At 56.3% G+C, this 15,906-nt stretch overlaps 2 protein-coding genes across 20 annotated transcripts in view, besides 1 other annotated feature; one reads left to right on the top strand and one right to left on the bottom strand.

Annotated features, from left to right (window-relative positions):
- HDAC7 (histone deacetylase 7) overlaps positions 1-8,992 on the top strand; it is a 38,623-nt gene extending 29,631 nt beyond the window's left edge. For all 16 annotated transcript variants that reach the window (NR_160435.1, NR_160436.1, XM_047428980.1 and 13 more), the window contains 12 exons: positions 8-128; positions 406-455; positions 1,794-1,901; positions 2,136-2,191; positions 2,366-2,453; positions 3,550-3,669; positions 3,905-4,002; positions 5,011-5,129; positions 5,829-5,962; positions 6,243-6,327; positions 7,497-7,635; positions 7,828-8,992. Coding sequence is in view for 14 of the 16 variants with exons in the window: in XM_047428980.1 (XP_047284936.1) it covers positions 8-128; positions 406-455; positions 1,794-1,901; positions 2,136-2,191; positions 2,366-2,453; positions 3,550-3,669; positions 3,905-4,002; positions 5,011-5,129; positions 5,829-5,962; positions 6,243-6,327; positions 7,497-7,635; positions 7,828-7,873 (1,164 nt within the window). In the remaining 2 variants the exon portion in view is untranslated. The remainder of the gene's footprint in view (positions 1-7; positions 129-405; positions 456-1,793; positions 1,902-2,135; positions 2,192-2,365; positions 2,454-3,549; positions 3,670-3,904; positions 4,003-5,010; positions 5,130-5,828; positions 5,963-6,242; positions 6,328-7,496; positions 7,636-7,827) is intronic.
- SLC48A1 (solute carrier family 48 member 1) overlaps positions 8,963-15,906 on the bottom strand; it is a 28,818-nt gene continuing 21,874 nt past the window's right edge. For 2 of the 4 annotated variants that reach the window (XM_047429134.1, XM_017019617.3), the window contains 3 exons: positions 12,519-12,686; positions 11,425-11,569; positions 8,963-9,496 (listed from right to left, as the gene is read on the bottom strand). In XM_047429134.1, coding sequence (XP_047285090.1) covers positions 11,433-11,569; positions 12,519-12,686 — 305 coding nt within the window. In that variant the 3' untranslated portion in view covers positions 8,963-9,496; positions 11,425-11,432. Of the gene's footprint in view, positions 11,570-12,518; positions 12,687-15,906 lie in introns of all 4 variants that reach the window. The other 2 variants (XM_005269016.4, NM_017842.3) reach the window with 1 other exon arrangement.
- Positions 12,129-12,178: a silencer, noted in NCBI's record as "silent region_4398". NCBI's record gives its function as "represses an Ori minimal core promoter by ATAC-STARR-seq in GM12878 lymphoblastoid cells {active_cell/tissue: GM12878}" and the evidence as "EXISTENCE:reporter gene assay evidence [ECO:0000049][PMID:35858748]".

Here is a 15,906-nt window from a genome sequence, read left to right as displayed (position 1 = left end):
TTTTCAGTGTCTCCGAGGCCGGAAGGCCTCCCTGGAAGAGCTGCAGTCGGTCCACTCTGAGCGGCACGTGCTCCTCTACGGCACCAACCCGCTCAGCCGCCTCAAACTGGACAACGGGAAGCTGGCAGGTAATGGCCTAGTGGCCCTGTCTCCCCATGCCAGCTTACCTCACCCAGCTCCCATGCACTCCTGTCTCGGCTCTGCCCGCCCAGCCAGCCTCCTCCTGCACCCTGGACGTCCCTACTCCAGCTTGCTGCCAAGCCCCTCCTCAGCCCACCTCCACCTCTCCCTTCCATATTTCTCTCCCCCAATACTCACCCGGCCCTGCTCTCTGGGCTCCCTGCTCCCTGTTGGGCCAAAGGCTGAGAGTATTCACGCTGACGTGGGCTGGGCCTCTCCCCGCAGGGCTCCTGGCACAGCGGATGTTTGTGATGCTGCCCTGTGGTGGGGTTGGGGTAAGTGTGCCCAGGGGTCTCAGGGGGGCGTTGCCAGGGCTCTCAGCTCTCCTCCCTGTGGTTCTCCCAGGCCCAGCCCCTGCAGAACCTCTGCTTGTTGTGGTTCTGCCAGACAGGGTGAGCCAGGGACTTCCTGAGGTGCCCCCTGCAGCAGGAAGCTCCTTTTGGACAGGCGTGTCTCGGACCCACAGTCTCCCCCGAATGCGGAGTCCAGCCTAAGCCTTCCCCTAGAAGGTGTCTGGTAGATGTTGAGTGAGGTTTCAGGAGCAGGGCCAAGGCTGGGGCTTAGGATCATCTCTCCCTTCAAAGACCCCCATGACTGGGCATTGGCCGCCAGGCTGCTCTGTCTGCTCTTAAGTGGCAAGTTGGGGTACCTCAGCCTGGTCCCCAGACCTTGGGCTGCCTGGTGTGACATCACGGTGGTGCTTCCGGTGTCCTTGGCGATCCCAGCACTCCCCACTCCGGGACATAGCCCCAAACTCCGCTCGCGAGCTTTGCTTCCTAAGTCCTCACCCCTTTGTGAAGGGAGCTTCCCGCTCCCTCCGGCTCAGCTCTCCTCGCCTAACACTATCCCTGCAGTAGTTTCTCAAGCAAGGTGTGTAGAGGCAGGGGATGGAGGCCTCATTCCGGAGGGAAAGTGGGAGCTGTAGCTGGTGGGGGACTTTGGGAGCCAGTCAGTGCCCTATTCACAACTTCCCATTTCTTGCCACTTTCTGGTTTTTCCAACTGTTGTTGCTTCTGTTTTCTCCTCCCTCCTCTCCCTCTCTGTCTTTCTCTCTCTCTCTCTTTCTCCAGCCTCTTGCGACTCTCTCTGCCTTCCTCGCCTCTCTTGGTCTGCCTCGCCCTCCCCATCTCCCCATCATGCCCCCCGGCCCCTCCCTAGCCTTGAGGCCCAGGGACTGGGTTTGGGGGGCCTCCCAGCCTGGGCTAGGGGCCCTGAGTGGAAGACAGTGGTGCAGACGGCCCCTCCAGCTCCGACCGTCCCGCAGGGCCTGAGCAGAGTCAGCTGGGGCTTAAAACCCCCTCCCGGCCCAAACCCCAAGTCCCGCCCAGGTAACGCCATGCCCCCTCCCCTGACCGGGGAGGCAGGCGTGATGCTGCCAGCAGAGTGCTGGCCAGATAATGGGCTGGTGCTGGGACTTAAGCTGGGAAAAAGTCATGCTGGGATTGGGGGACACAGGAGGCCTTGCCTTTGGGCGGTGGGGCACTGGGGAGGCAGCACTGTCTGCCCAGCTCCCTGCCCCTGGGGTCCTGGCCGTGGGGTGGGGACCACCCCCTTGGGCCCTGGCTCCTGTGTGAAGCCTTGGATGATGCGGGCCCTGACTCTGGCTCCCGCAGGTGGACACTGACACCATCTGGAATGAGCTTCATTCCTCCAATGCAGCCCGCTGGGCCGCTGGCAGTGTCACTGACCTCGCCTTCAAAGTGGCTTCTCGTGAGCTAAAGGTAGGAGGTTTGGGTTGAAGGTGGACACACCACAAAGGAGGAAGCAGAGTGGGGTAGTGGGGAATCCAGGCCCAGAACCCCAGGCATCGCATTCCTCTTAGAGATTGCTACAGGGTTTTGGAGGGGAAATTGAGGGCTCTGGGAACCAGGTTGAGATTGGAACTCTTGGGGTACGTTCATGCAGCTGTGGGTCAGAGCTGTCTGTTGATTGACAAGCATTCTTTCTTTTTCCAGAATGGTTTCGCTGTGGTGCGGCCCCCAGGACACCATGCAGATCATTCAACAGCCATGTAAGGCTAAGGGAAGACCTGGGTGGGATGAGGTGGGGGGCAAGCCCCCAGGAACTTCCTTCAGGGACATTCTCTCTTCTTCCCTGAGCTTTCTCAGGCTGGGCCAACCCAGGGGCCTGGGGAGGTGAGGGCATGTGGAGAGAATGGGCTGGCAGGACCTGTCTCTCCTTCCAGGGGCTTCTGCTTCTTCAACTCAGTGGCCATCGCCTGCCGGCAGCTGCAACAGCAGAGCAAGGCCAGCAAGATCCTCATTGTAGACTGGGTAGGTGCCTGTCCGTAGCACCCTCCAATTCGAGAGCCCTGGGGGAAAAGCCCTGAGCCTGATGTTAGAGATGCGGCTTCATGTCTTAGTTCTGCAGTAGCCTCTCTGAGCCTCAGTTTCCCCTTGTGTAAAATTTGGGTGAAGATAACACCCACATCACAGTTGGGAGGCCTAGAGGGGATGGCGTGTGGGAACGCATTCAGCCATCGCAAACCCCTGCAACGAGTAGGAGCTGTCATTTGAGTGTTGTCTTTTGACCTCTATTGGCTTCTTTTGGCAGATCTAGTAATTTCTGCATTTCCTGTACAGGTAGTGATGATAAGAATAATAGCAGATAACATCAGTACACCACTAATCACATCCAGACACTGATGGTTTTACACATGATGGATTTAATCCTGACTATAACCCACTTTACAGATGAAAGTGAGCACAGAGAGATTAAGTAACTCACACACAGTCATTCGTAAGTCATGAGATGGATTTGAACCCAGGCGGGTTAGCTCTAGAGTGCTTGCGTTTAACTGCTAAGCTATGTCCCTTCTGCACTGACAGCTGTGTAAGAGACATTTCTAAGCAGAAGTTGAGAGCGGTGGAGGACCTTTGCACACTTGAGTTCCCGCATGGTCCTGTGAGTCGAGTGTAGGGCCCAGCTCTCCCTACGAGGGATGGGGCTGGGCCTCGTGTACCTGCCCCTCTGTAACCGAGCTTGGTTTCTGATCTCCTCATAACTTCATGACTTTATGCAAGACAGAGTGGTTCCTGATATGTGTAACCCTGAACCCTTCCCTCTCCTTGCCACTAACCCCATGTCCACACAGTTACTCTCTCAGGTGGGCTGGCCTGAGATTGGGACACCTCCTCTCCTTCAGGATCTCATATTACAGCCAGCCCTGTCCAGCACAGAGAGGCCGAGGTTCAGAGCCGGGCAGTGGATTACGTGGGGCCACTCGACCGTGTGGCTTTAGGAACCCCAGGTTCCTGATCCCAGTCTAGGGTCCTGACCTCAGAATGGCCACTGACCTTGAAACCCTTCTAACCTGTCCTGGCCCCCATCTCTCTGCCTTCCCTAATCGCTGCCCGTCTCCCTACACAGGACGTGCACCATGGCAACGGCACCCAGCAAACCTTCTACCAAGACCCCAGTGTGCTCTACATCTCCCTGCATCGCCATGACGACGGCAACTTCTTCCCGGGGAGTGGGGCTGTGGATGAGGTAACCGCATGTCAGGGCCACATCTTCCAGCCTCATTGACCTCCTCCTGACACTTACTCTGCCTCTGTCATGACGAGCTGTGTGATCCTGGGCAGACTGCTGAGCCTCTCTGATCCTAAACTTCCCCACCTGGAAATGGGGAGGCTGGATGAGCTGGGCTGGCAGCTCTAACAAACTGGTGTTCCCCTTCTGGGACTCTGCTGTCCTCATGTCTCTCTTGCCTCCTGTTTTCCAGGTAGGGGCTGGCAGCGGTGAGGGCTTCAATGTCAATGTGGCCTGGGCTGGAGGTCTGGACCCCCCCATGGGGGATCCTGAGTACCTGGCTGCTTTCAGGTACGTGCTCTGGGGGCCCAGAGGGGCAAGTCCACCCTCTCCTGTCCCTTCTCCCAAGAGCACCAGGGGGGAGGTGATCAGTTGGATTGTCAGCCTGTCCCCACCAGTTCCTAGACATTGTAGGTGAACGCCAGTGAGAATAGGACAAACAGAGAGAAGAATGCAAAAGTCAAAGGGTGCTTTGCAAAGGCATACATTACCGAGAGCCAATGTCAAACTGATTGCTGGCAGGTGGGTGGTGGAGTGAGCAGAGCTGGCACATTTAGTCAGAGAAGGCTGCCACTCTATTTGGGAAAAGAGAATTCTGGAAATGGATCTTCAAACACTTTTCTGGAGTTATCTCCATGACAGCTAATTCTACGAGAGCCCTGGGCTGGAGTTCCTGGAGTCTTCTCAGAGCCCAGGGCTATGAAGAACACCCAAGCAGGCCCCAGAGTTGGATCAGGGGTAGAGGAAGGCAGCTGGGGGGGGGCCTGGAAGAGGGAGAGGATGAGAGAATGTAGCCAGGTGGCGCAGAACCTCAGAGGACCTAGTTGTCCCCTACTCAGCTCTCAAGTAGTGAGTAGCTGGGTGTGGTCAACTCAGTCCAAAGGACTGAGCACTTGTAGTCCCTGAAGCTTTGTGACCAGAGTCCATCTCCGCAAGGCTGTGAGATTACCCTTTCCCTGTGGCTCCGGCCACTGCACCCCACAGATGCTTGCATGCACACACACACATGCACACACACATGGTCACACACACTCCTCTTTCATTCCCTCTGGTGCTCCATCCTTGGCTCCTTTCTGCCTCTTGCTAGTTAAGTCCCCTAGGGGGCTGAGTCCTTAGGCTGTGTGTGCCAGGGACATGGGTGGCCAGCCAAGGTCAAGGAGGTCAGAGAAATCTGCCAGTTGTGCTGGGGCACTGGGAGCCTTGGAGTCCTAAGAACAGGGTGCCCCACCGCAAAGTTGGCAGGACCGCCCCTGGCAACCCTGCACAGTACGATGATCGCCACTTCTTGTGACCTCACAGGATAGTCGTGATGCCCATCGCCCGAGAGTTCTCTCCAGACCTAGTCCTGGTGTCTGCTGGATTTGATGCTGCTGAGGGTCACCCGGCCCCACTGGGTGGCTACCATGTTTCTGCCAAATGTAAGGGAGCCTCAGCTGAGGGGGACGTTAGGGACAGAGAGCCAGGCGGTGCGGGGAGTTGGGAGGCACTCCCAAGTCAGAAAGGGAAGGTGGCAGTGGCCAGCCCAGGGCTTTCAGCCTGAGGACTGGAGTATGGCAGCTGGTCCTGAAATTCCCCGGGATCTCCTAGCCGAGCACAGCCCAAGCCCTTTCTCAGGACCAGGCCGGTTCACCACGGAGGGCTTGACCAGGTCATACCCATGGGGACTTAAGTCCAGTAGGCAGGAAGCTCAGCCGTGGGACTCCCCACCACAGCTGGGTTGATTCCAGGTGGGCTGGCAGCTCCTCCAGAGGAAGGGGAGAGAGAAGCAGCACTCTCAGAATAGAGGGTGGCCACAGGGCCCAGAGTACAGAAAGAAGAGAGGGTGTAGCTCAGTGAAAAAGACACAGGCTAGAGTCAATGACCCAAGTTCAGGTCCTACCTTGCTGCCACTTACTAGCTGTGGGGCCTTTCCCAAGGCCCTTAACCTCCCTGAGCCTTGAGTGAAGCATACTAGTAGGTTTTGTACGACATTCAATGTGAAAGCACTTTGGAAATAGTGATTGATACATGTGAGTCATTCTTTATTAGGGAGGAAGCAAGCAGGGAAGCCACAGGGGTAGAGAACAGGGTCACCTCTCCACTCCCGCCCCTCCCATTTCTCCCCTCCCAACCTCTAGGTTTTGGATACATGACGCAGCAACTGATGAACCTGGCAGGAGGCGCAGTGGTGCTGGCCTTGGAGGGTGGCCATGACCTCACAGCCATCTGTGACGCCTCTGAGGCCTGTGTGGCTGCTCTTCTGGGTAACAGGGTGAGCCGTCTCCCTCCCCCATCCATGCTTCTGTCAGGCAGGTAAGCCCGGCTCTCAGGACTACCCAAGGAGCAGGCAGATGGGATGGGACAGGGTGGGAGTGGCCAAGCCTGAAACAAGGTAGGCGAAGCGGAAGCCTCTGTTCCAAGTTAGGTCCAGGCAGCATCTCCTGGCCTAGGTAGAGTGTGCTTGTGGCTAGAAGGCTGGGGCCCCTGGGGTGGGAGTGAGCTGGGCCTGTGGGTCCCTGAGAGACTGGTGGCTGATGTACTGTTTTCTATAGGTGGATCCCCTTTCAGAAGAAGGCTGGAAACAGAAACCCAACCTCAATGCCATCCGCTCTCTGGAGGCCGTGATCCGGGTGCACAGTAAGTGTGGAGATGGGACACTCGCTGAGCTCAGACTGAAGGATCTTGGTGGTACCCTGCCCCACCGTGGCCAGATCCTAGGGCTTCCGGTGCCAGCCAGGTGACCTGCTGTTGGTCTGGAGTAAGATTCCTGTGAGTGACCCAGGCAGCAATGGTGAGCACCCCCCAGTGAGGGGTTATCCTCTGAGCCCCCCCGATGGAGCCAGCAGGGCCTACCAGACAGTGGCCCCTCAAGGTAGGGACTGGCCTCCATCTCTAGCGACAGCCCTAGACCAGGGCCAGGTCAAGAGCAACACTCAGGCCTTGTTTGCCAAAAGGCCTGGTTCCCATCCCTCCCCTCAGTCCTGGCCACAGGCGTCTCAGGAGCTCTGCTGGCTTGGGGGCTGCGTCTTGGGATAACCCCCACATTTGTAAAGTACTTTAAATTTTCAACTTCAACTCAACATCTATTGAGCATCTTATGTCAAGACCCATAATCTATACTAGGGATAAAAATGAGTAAAATAGATTCCCATATCAAGGGCTGGGTAGGGGAGCCGTGATGTCTTTACATAATGGTAAAGACATGGCTGATTCCTCTTACGGTGGGTGCCCTCACACTGAGCCAGATTCCAGGACATGGTTCCTCACAGCAGCAGGCAGGAGGAGCATTCTCCTGGCCTGGGCACCCATGCAGAGCGGCCGTGGTGATGGTCAGTTCTCCCATGTTGTGTTCGTCCCACCTCCCAGGCCCTCCTTTCCTGAGTGCTGGGCTGAGCACTGGTGGGGGCTGTGTTTAAGTGGGAGGCCCGAGCTTGGGGCTCTGGGAGGTCACTGTGACACAGACCCTGTCTGCAGGCAAGCAGGCTCTCCTGATGCTCTCAGGAGCCCCGCACCTGTGGGGAATGAGTCAAAGGTGGCCTTGCAGCCACAGGGGATGAGAGAAAGGCTGGGCACCTGCTAGGACTCCCTCACAGCCATGTTGAACCCACTCTGTGTACCCTGTCAGGCTGTGCGGGAGTGGGAGCGAAGTGAGGAGAGGGGCAGGTGGGAGAGCCGACCCTAAGTGGAGGACAGGCCCGCTCCTCCGGGGCCCTGGGCCTGAGACACCAACCTCAATATCCGGTCTAGGACGCAGTGTGGAGGGGCTTGCTTTCTCCAACCCTTTCTGACCTGGCATCTTACCCCAGGTAAATACTGGGGCTGCATGCAGCGCCTGGCCTCCTGTCCAGACTCCTGGGTGCCTAGAGTGCCAGGGGCTGACAAAGAAGAAGTGGAGGCAGTGACCGCACTGGCGTCCCTCTCTGTGGGCATCCTGGCTGAAGATAGGTAATGCCAGACCCCTGGCCCTGGGCCCACAGCCTCTCCACCGCTTCATTCCTCCCTGCTTGAAGACCCCGGGTCCGCTATGCAGCCACCCCAACCCTCCCAGGCTTCCTGACCAGGGTTGAGAGGAAGCTTAGCTAAGGCCCTTGCTGCAGCCCTGGTGCTCCAGCATCCCACCCTTGTCCCTCCCCACAGGCCCTCGGAGCAGCTGGTGGAGGAGGAAGAACCTATGAATCTCTAAGGCTCTGGAACCATCTGCCCGCCCACCATGCCCTTGGGACCTGGTTCTCTTCTAACCCCTGGCAATAGCCCCCATTCCTGGGTCTTTAGAGATCCTGTGGGCAAGTAGTTGGAACCAGAGAACAGCCTGCCTGCTTTGACAGTTATCCCAGGGAGCGTGAGAAAATCCCTGGGTCTAGAATGGGAACTGGAGAGGACCCTGAGAGGAGACGGGCTGGGCGGCGACCCCCACAGGGCTCTCGAGAACAGATTCTCCCCTCCAGTATGGGCCCTGGCTGTGGCCCCCATTCCTCAGGACTGCACAGAGGAGGACTGGCTCCGGCTCCGTCGGGCTCACCCTTAACCACTATTCCTGGCTCTGCAAACCCCAGACTTTGCACACAGCCTCAGGCTCCACACAGAAATGTGAACTTGGCCTCAGACAGGCTGGCCCTTCCTAGGCTCTAGGGGCTAGGGGGGAGTGGGGAGCCAAGAGGTCCCATATTCCTGAGTGCAGGGGTAGTCCCTCTCACCTGCTTCCTCAGACGACTCTGGAAGCTTCCCTCTACCACTGGGCACTGAGACGAAGCTCCCTGACAGCCGAGACTGGCAGCCCTCCATCTGGTCCGTACCCTCGCCAGAGGCCCCCCTACATCAACCTCCTGGCGATGCCCTGGTGGAGCAGATGGGTGCTCTGGGAGTCCTGTGCTTCCTGATCCAATGGTGCCAAACCCTTCATCTCCCCAAGAAGCGCAGCATACCCCTGGGACCCCTCGGCCACTGCCCACTCGGGGAGCCTTCTCTGTTTCTGGGGCCTCCCCCACCATAGCTCTGATTCCCACCCCACATAGGAGTAGCCTGACTGAGGGGGAAGGGGTGGGAGAGAAGATACAGACATGGAGGAGGGGAGGCTGCTCTGGCAAAGTCTTCAAGGCTTTTGGGGGTCCAGGCCTGGGGTCAAGAAGGAAAATGTGTGTGAGCATGTGTGTGAGTGAGGCGTGTGTGTGAGCGTGTGTGTGAGTGAGGCGTGTGTGTGTGTCTTTCCTAGGACCCACCATACCCTGTGTATGTATGCATGTTTTTGTAAAAAGGAAGAAAATGGAAAAAAATCTGAACAATAAATGTTTTATTTGCTTTAAAAGTGCCTCTGAAAGGGCCCCCCAGAAGTGAGCAGTGCGCCGTCAAGCGGGTGTGCAGGGCACACAGCTGCACGGCACAGTGTGGGTCTGAGTCACTGCCGGAGGAGGGACCAGGGTGGTCTGGGCCGCAGCCCCTTTAACAATCTGCCCTTCCTGCCCTGCAGGAAGAACCCATTCTGAACACACCCTGGCTGTCCCTGGCTGCCCCACTTTGGGGTGACAAAGAGGAGGCAGCCCTGGGCTGAGTCCACAGAGACCAGCCCTGATATGGCAGGAGTGGGGGTGGGGTGGGGGAGTGGGAATACAGGAGCTCAGCCCCAGCTCACCACGGCATCCCCGAAGAGTTGTGACTCAGACACACCTGGGTTTAAGTCCCAGCTGGGAGCTCAGGTAAGTCAAATCGTCTTCTGGGGCCTCTGTTTATCAGTAGAAGGCTCCAGAAGTATACACTGTTGATGGCTCCTTCCCGCTCTGATGCACCATGCCTGATTAAGCATACACTGAGCCTAGAAGAGAGAAGGGGTGAGGCACAGGCCTGGACAAGCTCACCCAGCCTAAGCAGAGAGGAAGGCGCCAGGCTGGCAGCACCTGCCTTTGTGGTTCTGAGTCTGTCCGGTTTTTCCAGCAGGAAGAGGAGCACCTCATTACCTTAGACCTGGCCCAAGCTCCTGGCAGCCTGGCAGAGTGTGAGGGAAGAGGCGCTAATCCCTTTCCCATCTGGCCTGGCCTCTCGGGTGTGGACACCAAATCCCGCAGGGGTTGCTGTAGCTATGCCCGTGGGCATCCTTGCCCTGGCTGGGGTGTGCTAGAGAGAGGAAAGCTGGAGGAGGAGAGCTGAGCTGGTGGTTACCCCATGCCAGGAGGGCCAAGGCAAGAGGGCCTGCAGCCCCAGAGATACTGACTCTGTCCCCTGCCCTCCAGGGCACAACTGAACTAGCGGAATGGCTTAATCAGATAGCTCGAGAACTGCCACTACCACTCCCTCCCTGCCCACTCCTCCCAAAGTCCACCTGTTCCCGCAAGAGTCCCACCTCACAAGCAACCACCAGAGGCTGATACAAATGGCCGCTGTATTTTTGCTAAAGTGACAGTGACACAGATAAGGCAAAGAGCTGAGGGGCAGGACACATCAGATGGGAAGGGGGAGACCGTGCAAAATGGCAGTCTAACAGAAAATCATCCTTGTACCAACAGCCCCTTCCCTCCCAAGTTAGGTGAGCCCTTGGGCCAGTGTATGGGCAGAAAAGCAGATTTGTGTCCTTCAGAAGGGAAATGTAAAAAGGTGAAAGCTCTAGTTGAAGGGCAGTGAGAGGGGCTGGAGTGGGAGAGAAGGTCTCTCCTGGCCGGTGGTCTGGGTGCAGCAAGGGCACTCTGAGAAGGCAGAATGGAAACGCAGGGCTGGAGGGGCATGGGTACAGGTTTGGGGGCTCTTTCCAGCCTCTACTATGTTGCCCCCTTCCCCAAAGCCCTTACAGGGGCAGAAGCACATTCCCCGTGACCCTGAGTCTGGCCTCATTTGGGAAGTCTTCTGGGGTGTATGGATGCCTGTGTGTGTGAGTGAGATGGGTGGGGGGCCACGGCTATCTGGCTCTAGCACACTCATGGGAGACCAGCTCTGGGAACAACAGGATGGGGTGCTGGGATGGGGGTTTAAGAGGTCTCTGCTAGATATTTCTGAACTGACCTCCCCAGGTGCCCAACCTGGCCTTGGGAAGAGAGTGCCTAGGGCAGCGGGGATGGAAACCCTTGCCTGCAGCATAGGTCCAGGCCTCATGGCCCTACACCTTGACCTCTTGACTTTGTTGCCCTGGCCTTAAGTACAAAGATTCCTCACTGCGTGCTAAGAAAACAGATCCAGGCCGGGCACGGTGGCTCACACCTATAATCCCAGCACTTTGGAAGGCTGAGGCGGGTGAATCACCTGAGATCAGGAGTTCGAGACCAGCCTGGCCAACATGGCAAAACCCTGTCTCTACTAAAAACACAAAAATTTGCCGGGCATGGTGGCAGATGCCTGTAATCCCAGCTACTTGAGAGGCCAAGGCAGGAGAATTGCTTGAACCTGGGAGGCGGAGGTTGCAGTGAGCTGAGATCGCACTACTGCACTCCAGCCTGGGTGACAGAGTAAGACTCCATCTCAAAAAAAAAAAAAAAAGAAAAAAAAAAGAAAGAAAAGAAAACAGATTCATTTGAAAAGGTCTAAAGCTGCCCTCTGGCCAGGCTGATGAGGAGCAACATGGCAGGATCCCCTCTCTACCACACTCAGGTTTCCTCGAAAGGGGACGGGCAGGACAGCTTCCTGGGAGACCACACTCGTCCTGCTGTGTATTTTCTGCCACAGTTCTGGGGTCACCAGGGGGTGGGAGTAGCCTCTCCCAACATCTCAGAGGCTGAGTCCAGGTCCTAAGGCCCCCCCAGGGTGCAGAGACCTCACCCCCTGGGTCAGAAATCGCTGAGGATGCTGATGTCAGCAAAGTCAGCCCGGTAGCGGTGGGCATAGAGGCTGAGCAGGAAGGCCCACTTGAAGGAAATGAAGCTCCAGACGCTGGAGAGGTAGTAGCTGGTGGGGTCTGTGAGGCCTGCAGGGAGAGAAGTACCGACAGTGACTTTGGCAGGCCCTGCCCTCGGCCTCTGCACCGGCCACAAGGCCAGGGCCACCCTCCCCACTCAACATCCCTGCAACGTCCTGGCAGCTGAACCAACCCTTCAGAAAGACACTGTGATGGAGGTTTTAGAGCCATGGTCCCCAACCTTTTTGGCACCAGGGACTGGTTTTGTGGAAGACAATTTTTCCACAAAAACCTTGGGATGGTTTGGGGATGAAACTGTTCCACCTCAGATCGTCAAACATTAGATCATCAGGGGCACGCAACCCTCGCATGCGCCTCACAACAGGGTTTGCGCTTCTAATGCCCGCCGCTGACCTGACAGGAGGCAGAGCTCAGGCGGTAAGGCTCGCTTGCCCCTCACCTGCTGTGTGGCCTGGTTCCTAACAGGCCACGGACCACTACTGTTCCACAGCCTGGAACAGTAGAACGGAGCTGGGGACCGTTTTAGAGTATTCCAGGGTTTTCAGGCAGGAGGCCGTGGGGATTAGGGAAGGGCAGGGCTGGCCAATCACAGGTCTGTATCATCCACTCCGCTTTTGTGACAAATACCCTAGGCCACCTCCAACCTGCTTTAGTTAGCATCAGACTCCCGGAAGAAGGACCTCTGGTTATTTCCAGCCACAGCCACCAGAGGGCGCTCCCATCCCAGAGCTGAGCACAGACTAATGGGTCCCAATATCAGGAGTGCTTGTATGGGCTATGCACTGCTCAAGACTTCACATCAGTTTCATAGAATCCACCCAACTTGCGAGGTGGGGACTTGTTTTCTCCACATGAACCATAACAAAACCCGTGTCCGGGGAGGTTAAGTAATTCACCCAGTCTCTTTGGAGGTAACCTGTGGAACCAGGATGGGAATGCTGCTAAAATCCCCGCTGCTGTCCCTCCCATGCCCTCTTTCCCTGGGACCCGCCCTCACTCTGATGCCGGGTGATGGCCAGCACGAGGAAGGTGCAGAAGGCAGCGATGGAGACGGCCGAGAAGAGGACGCCCACGAAGAAGAAGCCGCGCAGCCCCTTGAGCCAGGTCCTCCAATAATCTTGCATGTACATCACGTGCGTCACCAGGACCCACAGTGCCAGCACCCCTGCAGGAGAGACACATCAGGGCCCATCCCCAGGGTGCTCCAGAGCCCTGCAGATCCACTAGACCAGGCCTATTTGCATAAGAATACCAAGAATATGGTCTTGTCTCTCATTCCCTCATAGAATGGAGTTTTCCTTTTCGGAGGCTGTGATATCAGAAGCAGGTAAGAGACTGAGCTGCCTGCTAGTAAGCCCAACATTAGAGAAACCTGCAGAAATACAAAACCCTACCATTCTCTCTGATTTTATTTTGTTTTGGAAAACATGAATATCTCTCACAAAAATGTTATGTTAATTCATGTTATTTTTAGTATTACTTTAAAATGCTAAAAAATGTTCTAACTTCTAATATAGTATATATCAATAGCTAAAACTCACATACATAAAATTTGCATGGAGTTTCACTACTTTTCAAGAGGATAAAAGGATCCTGAAAACCAGAAAGTCTGTGCCTCAGCAGCCCAGCCTGCTTTCTGGGGACTTGCCACTGTCTACCCTGAGGGCCACAGAGCAGGGAAGCCATGCTCCTGCCCCATGCTCCTCCTCCACCCAGCCCTCAGAGGCCACAGTCTCAAAGTCACAAGGCCTGCAGGGCTCTTCCCAAACTGCCTGAGTTGGTTTTGCAGGATGAGGAGGTCCAGCCATGAAGACTCCAGGGCCACCCAACCCCTGAGTGGCCTTATTGTTCTTGGCCAGACCTCATGCCACTCCCTCCATTTTGCGGCAAAGGGCAGGCCATCACCACCTGCACCGCTCCCCACCCCCACTGCCCCCAGCTTTTCCTGGGCCTGGCCTCTGCGCCTGGGTGGACACTTCCTCTAGGATGCCAGCTGCCACCCAGCCAATACAATACAAAACAACCCTCTGTGCCAGGCAGTGCCTGCTGGTGCAGCCCAAAGAGTGGAACAAATATCAACTCCATTGGCAAGGGTCCGGGCAGGGCGGTGGATCCCGGCAAGGGACAAATGAGGAAGGAGGCAGAGCCAGCTGCAGGCTCTCAGCTGGTTGGGTTGCAAGGTGTGGGCCACTCAGGCCGCTGCATCCTAGGAGTCAGGAGGCCTTTCCAAAAGGCAGCTGCACACATGCCACTCAGAGTAGTTACCAAATGTGCACAGGAAGGATAAGCATCTGGTTGGGGAAAGTGGTTATCTCTGGCAATGGAGACAAGGAAGGGAAGTTGATGGGGCGGTGGGGGTGGGGAAGTGCTTTGAATCTATGGGAATCTATGCTATTTTGTTTCTTAGGCTGGGTGGGAAATCTATGCTATTTTATCTACGCTGTTTTCTCAGGCTGGGTTATAAGGGTGTTTGTTAAATCATCTATCCTTTTTTGTGTGCCTAAAATATTTCATAATTTGTTTAAGGGGGAAAAAGGCAGGAGGAAGCTTGTCACTGTGGAGCTATGCTCTGGTTACCAGCTCAGAGGCTGTCCCAGTTTGGCTGTCCCCAGACAGTCCAGTGAGGAACAAAAACCCATGAGACTCCAAGCCAAGAAACCAGGAGCCTGGCACTGCTGTGTCCCAAAGCCTTGGTGTTTCCACATCTAAAAATGGGTGGGCCCAGGGGTCCTGCCAGTTTAGGTAACTGGGCCCAGGGTTCTACCCTAGTGAGGGTGAAGGCCTACCAAGCCTACAGCTTCCCTCAGCCCCTGCCACCGTTTGACCCCCTGAACACTCTCCCAGCTTTGCCCCTGCCCACCTCCACTCTTCCTCAGGGGGTGGGGGCCTGGAATGTGGGTCCCCCTCCTACTGAGATCAGGGTGGGCCAGGACAAGCATCTGTTCCTCCCCACCTAGTCTGGATGCTGGAGTGGGCCAGAGGTGGACAGGACAATCATCCTGCAGCTTCCTCTTACCTCCTACAAGATCTGGATTTTTATACCAGCCACCTTTCACAGAAGTCCCTCCCACTCCTCACATGTGTCCCATGTTTTCATTTGAGGGAGCTGTTTGGTTTATAAAGGGCCCTGGGAACAAGGGGTGTTGTCACTGAGCACACTCAAGGAGCAGTCTGATGGGCACCTGTCTGGAACAGGTCCCCTCGCCCTCTGTCTCCTCGTGCCACAGAGGGGTTGGGGAAGTTGAGCTCTAAGATCCTTTCCCACTCAAAGATTCTAGAAGCCAGCTTGGGAGAAAAATAAGGTCAGAACAATTCCTCTGTGACTCAGCAGTTTCTGGGTTAGGAAATGCTGAAATAGGGGCCTGTGAAGATGCCATCTCTTAGTCCACTGGCCACGATCCAGTGGTTCCCCAAAACTCCCACCCCCATGTACATGCACATACCAAAGAGGGCTGAGGGCAGGAGGGAGAGGAAGACAGCCATTTGGGGGCGTTTTGGGCCCTGTTCTTTGTTAACAACAGGCATGGTTTACCCACCTCTCACCTTCCCTCAACCTTGCTCCAGGCCCTGCACAGAGGCCTCCCCTCCAGATAAACACACATCAAGTGTGGAGGCAGGCCTGCTGCCCACGCCCTGGCTCCCACCACCCTCCTGGGAAGGGAGCTCTCCACCAGCCCTACCCAAGGGGGTCACTGAAGGAGATGGAGCCCCTCACTGGTCCCCTCCCACACATCAGGCAGGAGGCAATGTATCTCCCTAATACCCTTCCCTGGCACACTTGGGGACTCTAGGAAGCCTGGTTTATAAAACTCGGGGTGGAATGGACAGGTCCCCAATCCCACCTGGCTGCAAGCCCACACCAGACCACACCGTTGCTCCATCCTACCTGTTTCAAGGAGCAGAGCCCCTGCTTAGCCATGTGAGCTTATTGGCTCACAGCCGATAAGCTAAGGGTAAGGAAGGCATAGGGTAGGGCGGTGAAAGCATCCCCAGTGGCTGGGCTGGAGGTGAGGAGACAGGAGACACCCGGGGGATCCCACAGGGTAAATGCAGACAAGAAGGACACTGGGCCTAGGTCAGGCCCCTCTATTCCTTCCTAGGAGGAAGACAGTCCTGGAGCCCCAGGGCTCTTGCTCACAGCTCACCTGGGAAAAACATAGAGCTGTTTAGACTTCAGGAGCAACTTTTCTTTTTCTCTTTCCTTGGTCTACTAAACCCAGAGCAAGAGTTTGTGTTTTCCCCCAGGACTCCCACAGCAAAGCCAGACCAGGTAGATCCAACCCACACCTGCCCGCCTCCCCAGGAAAGCCAGTCTTGCTTCTGCCACTGCCTTTCTCCAAAGCCACTTCTTCGAAGGTACCCATCAGGATGGGAGAGGGTATCCC

The sequence above is a fragment of the Homo sapiens genome, chromosome 12 (genome assembly GCF_000001405.40).
Source record: "Homo sapiens chromosome 12, GRCh38.p14 Primary Assembly".
Taxonomy (NCBI): Eukaryota; Metazoa; Chordata; class Mammalia; order Primates; family Hominidae; genus Homo; species Homo sapiens.
This window is presented reverse-complemented; position numbering and strand designations above follow the sequence as displayed.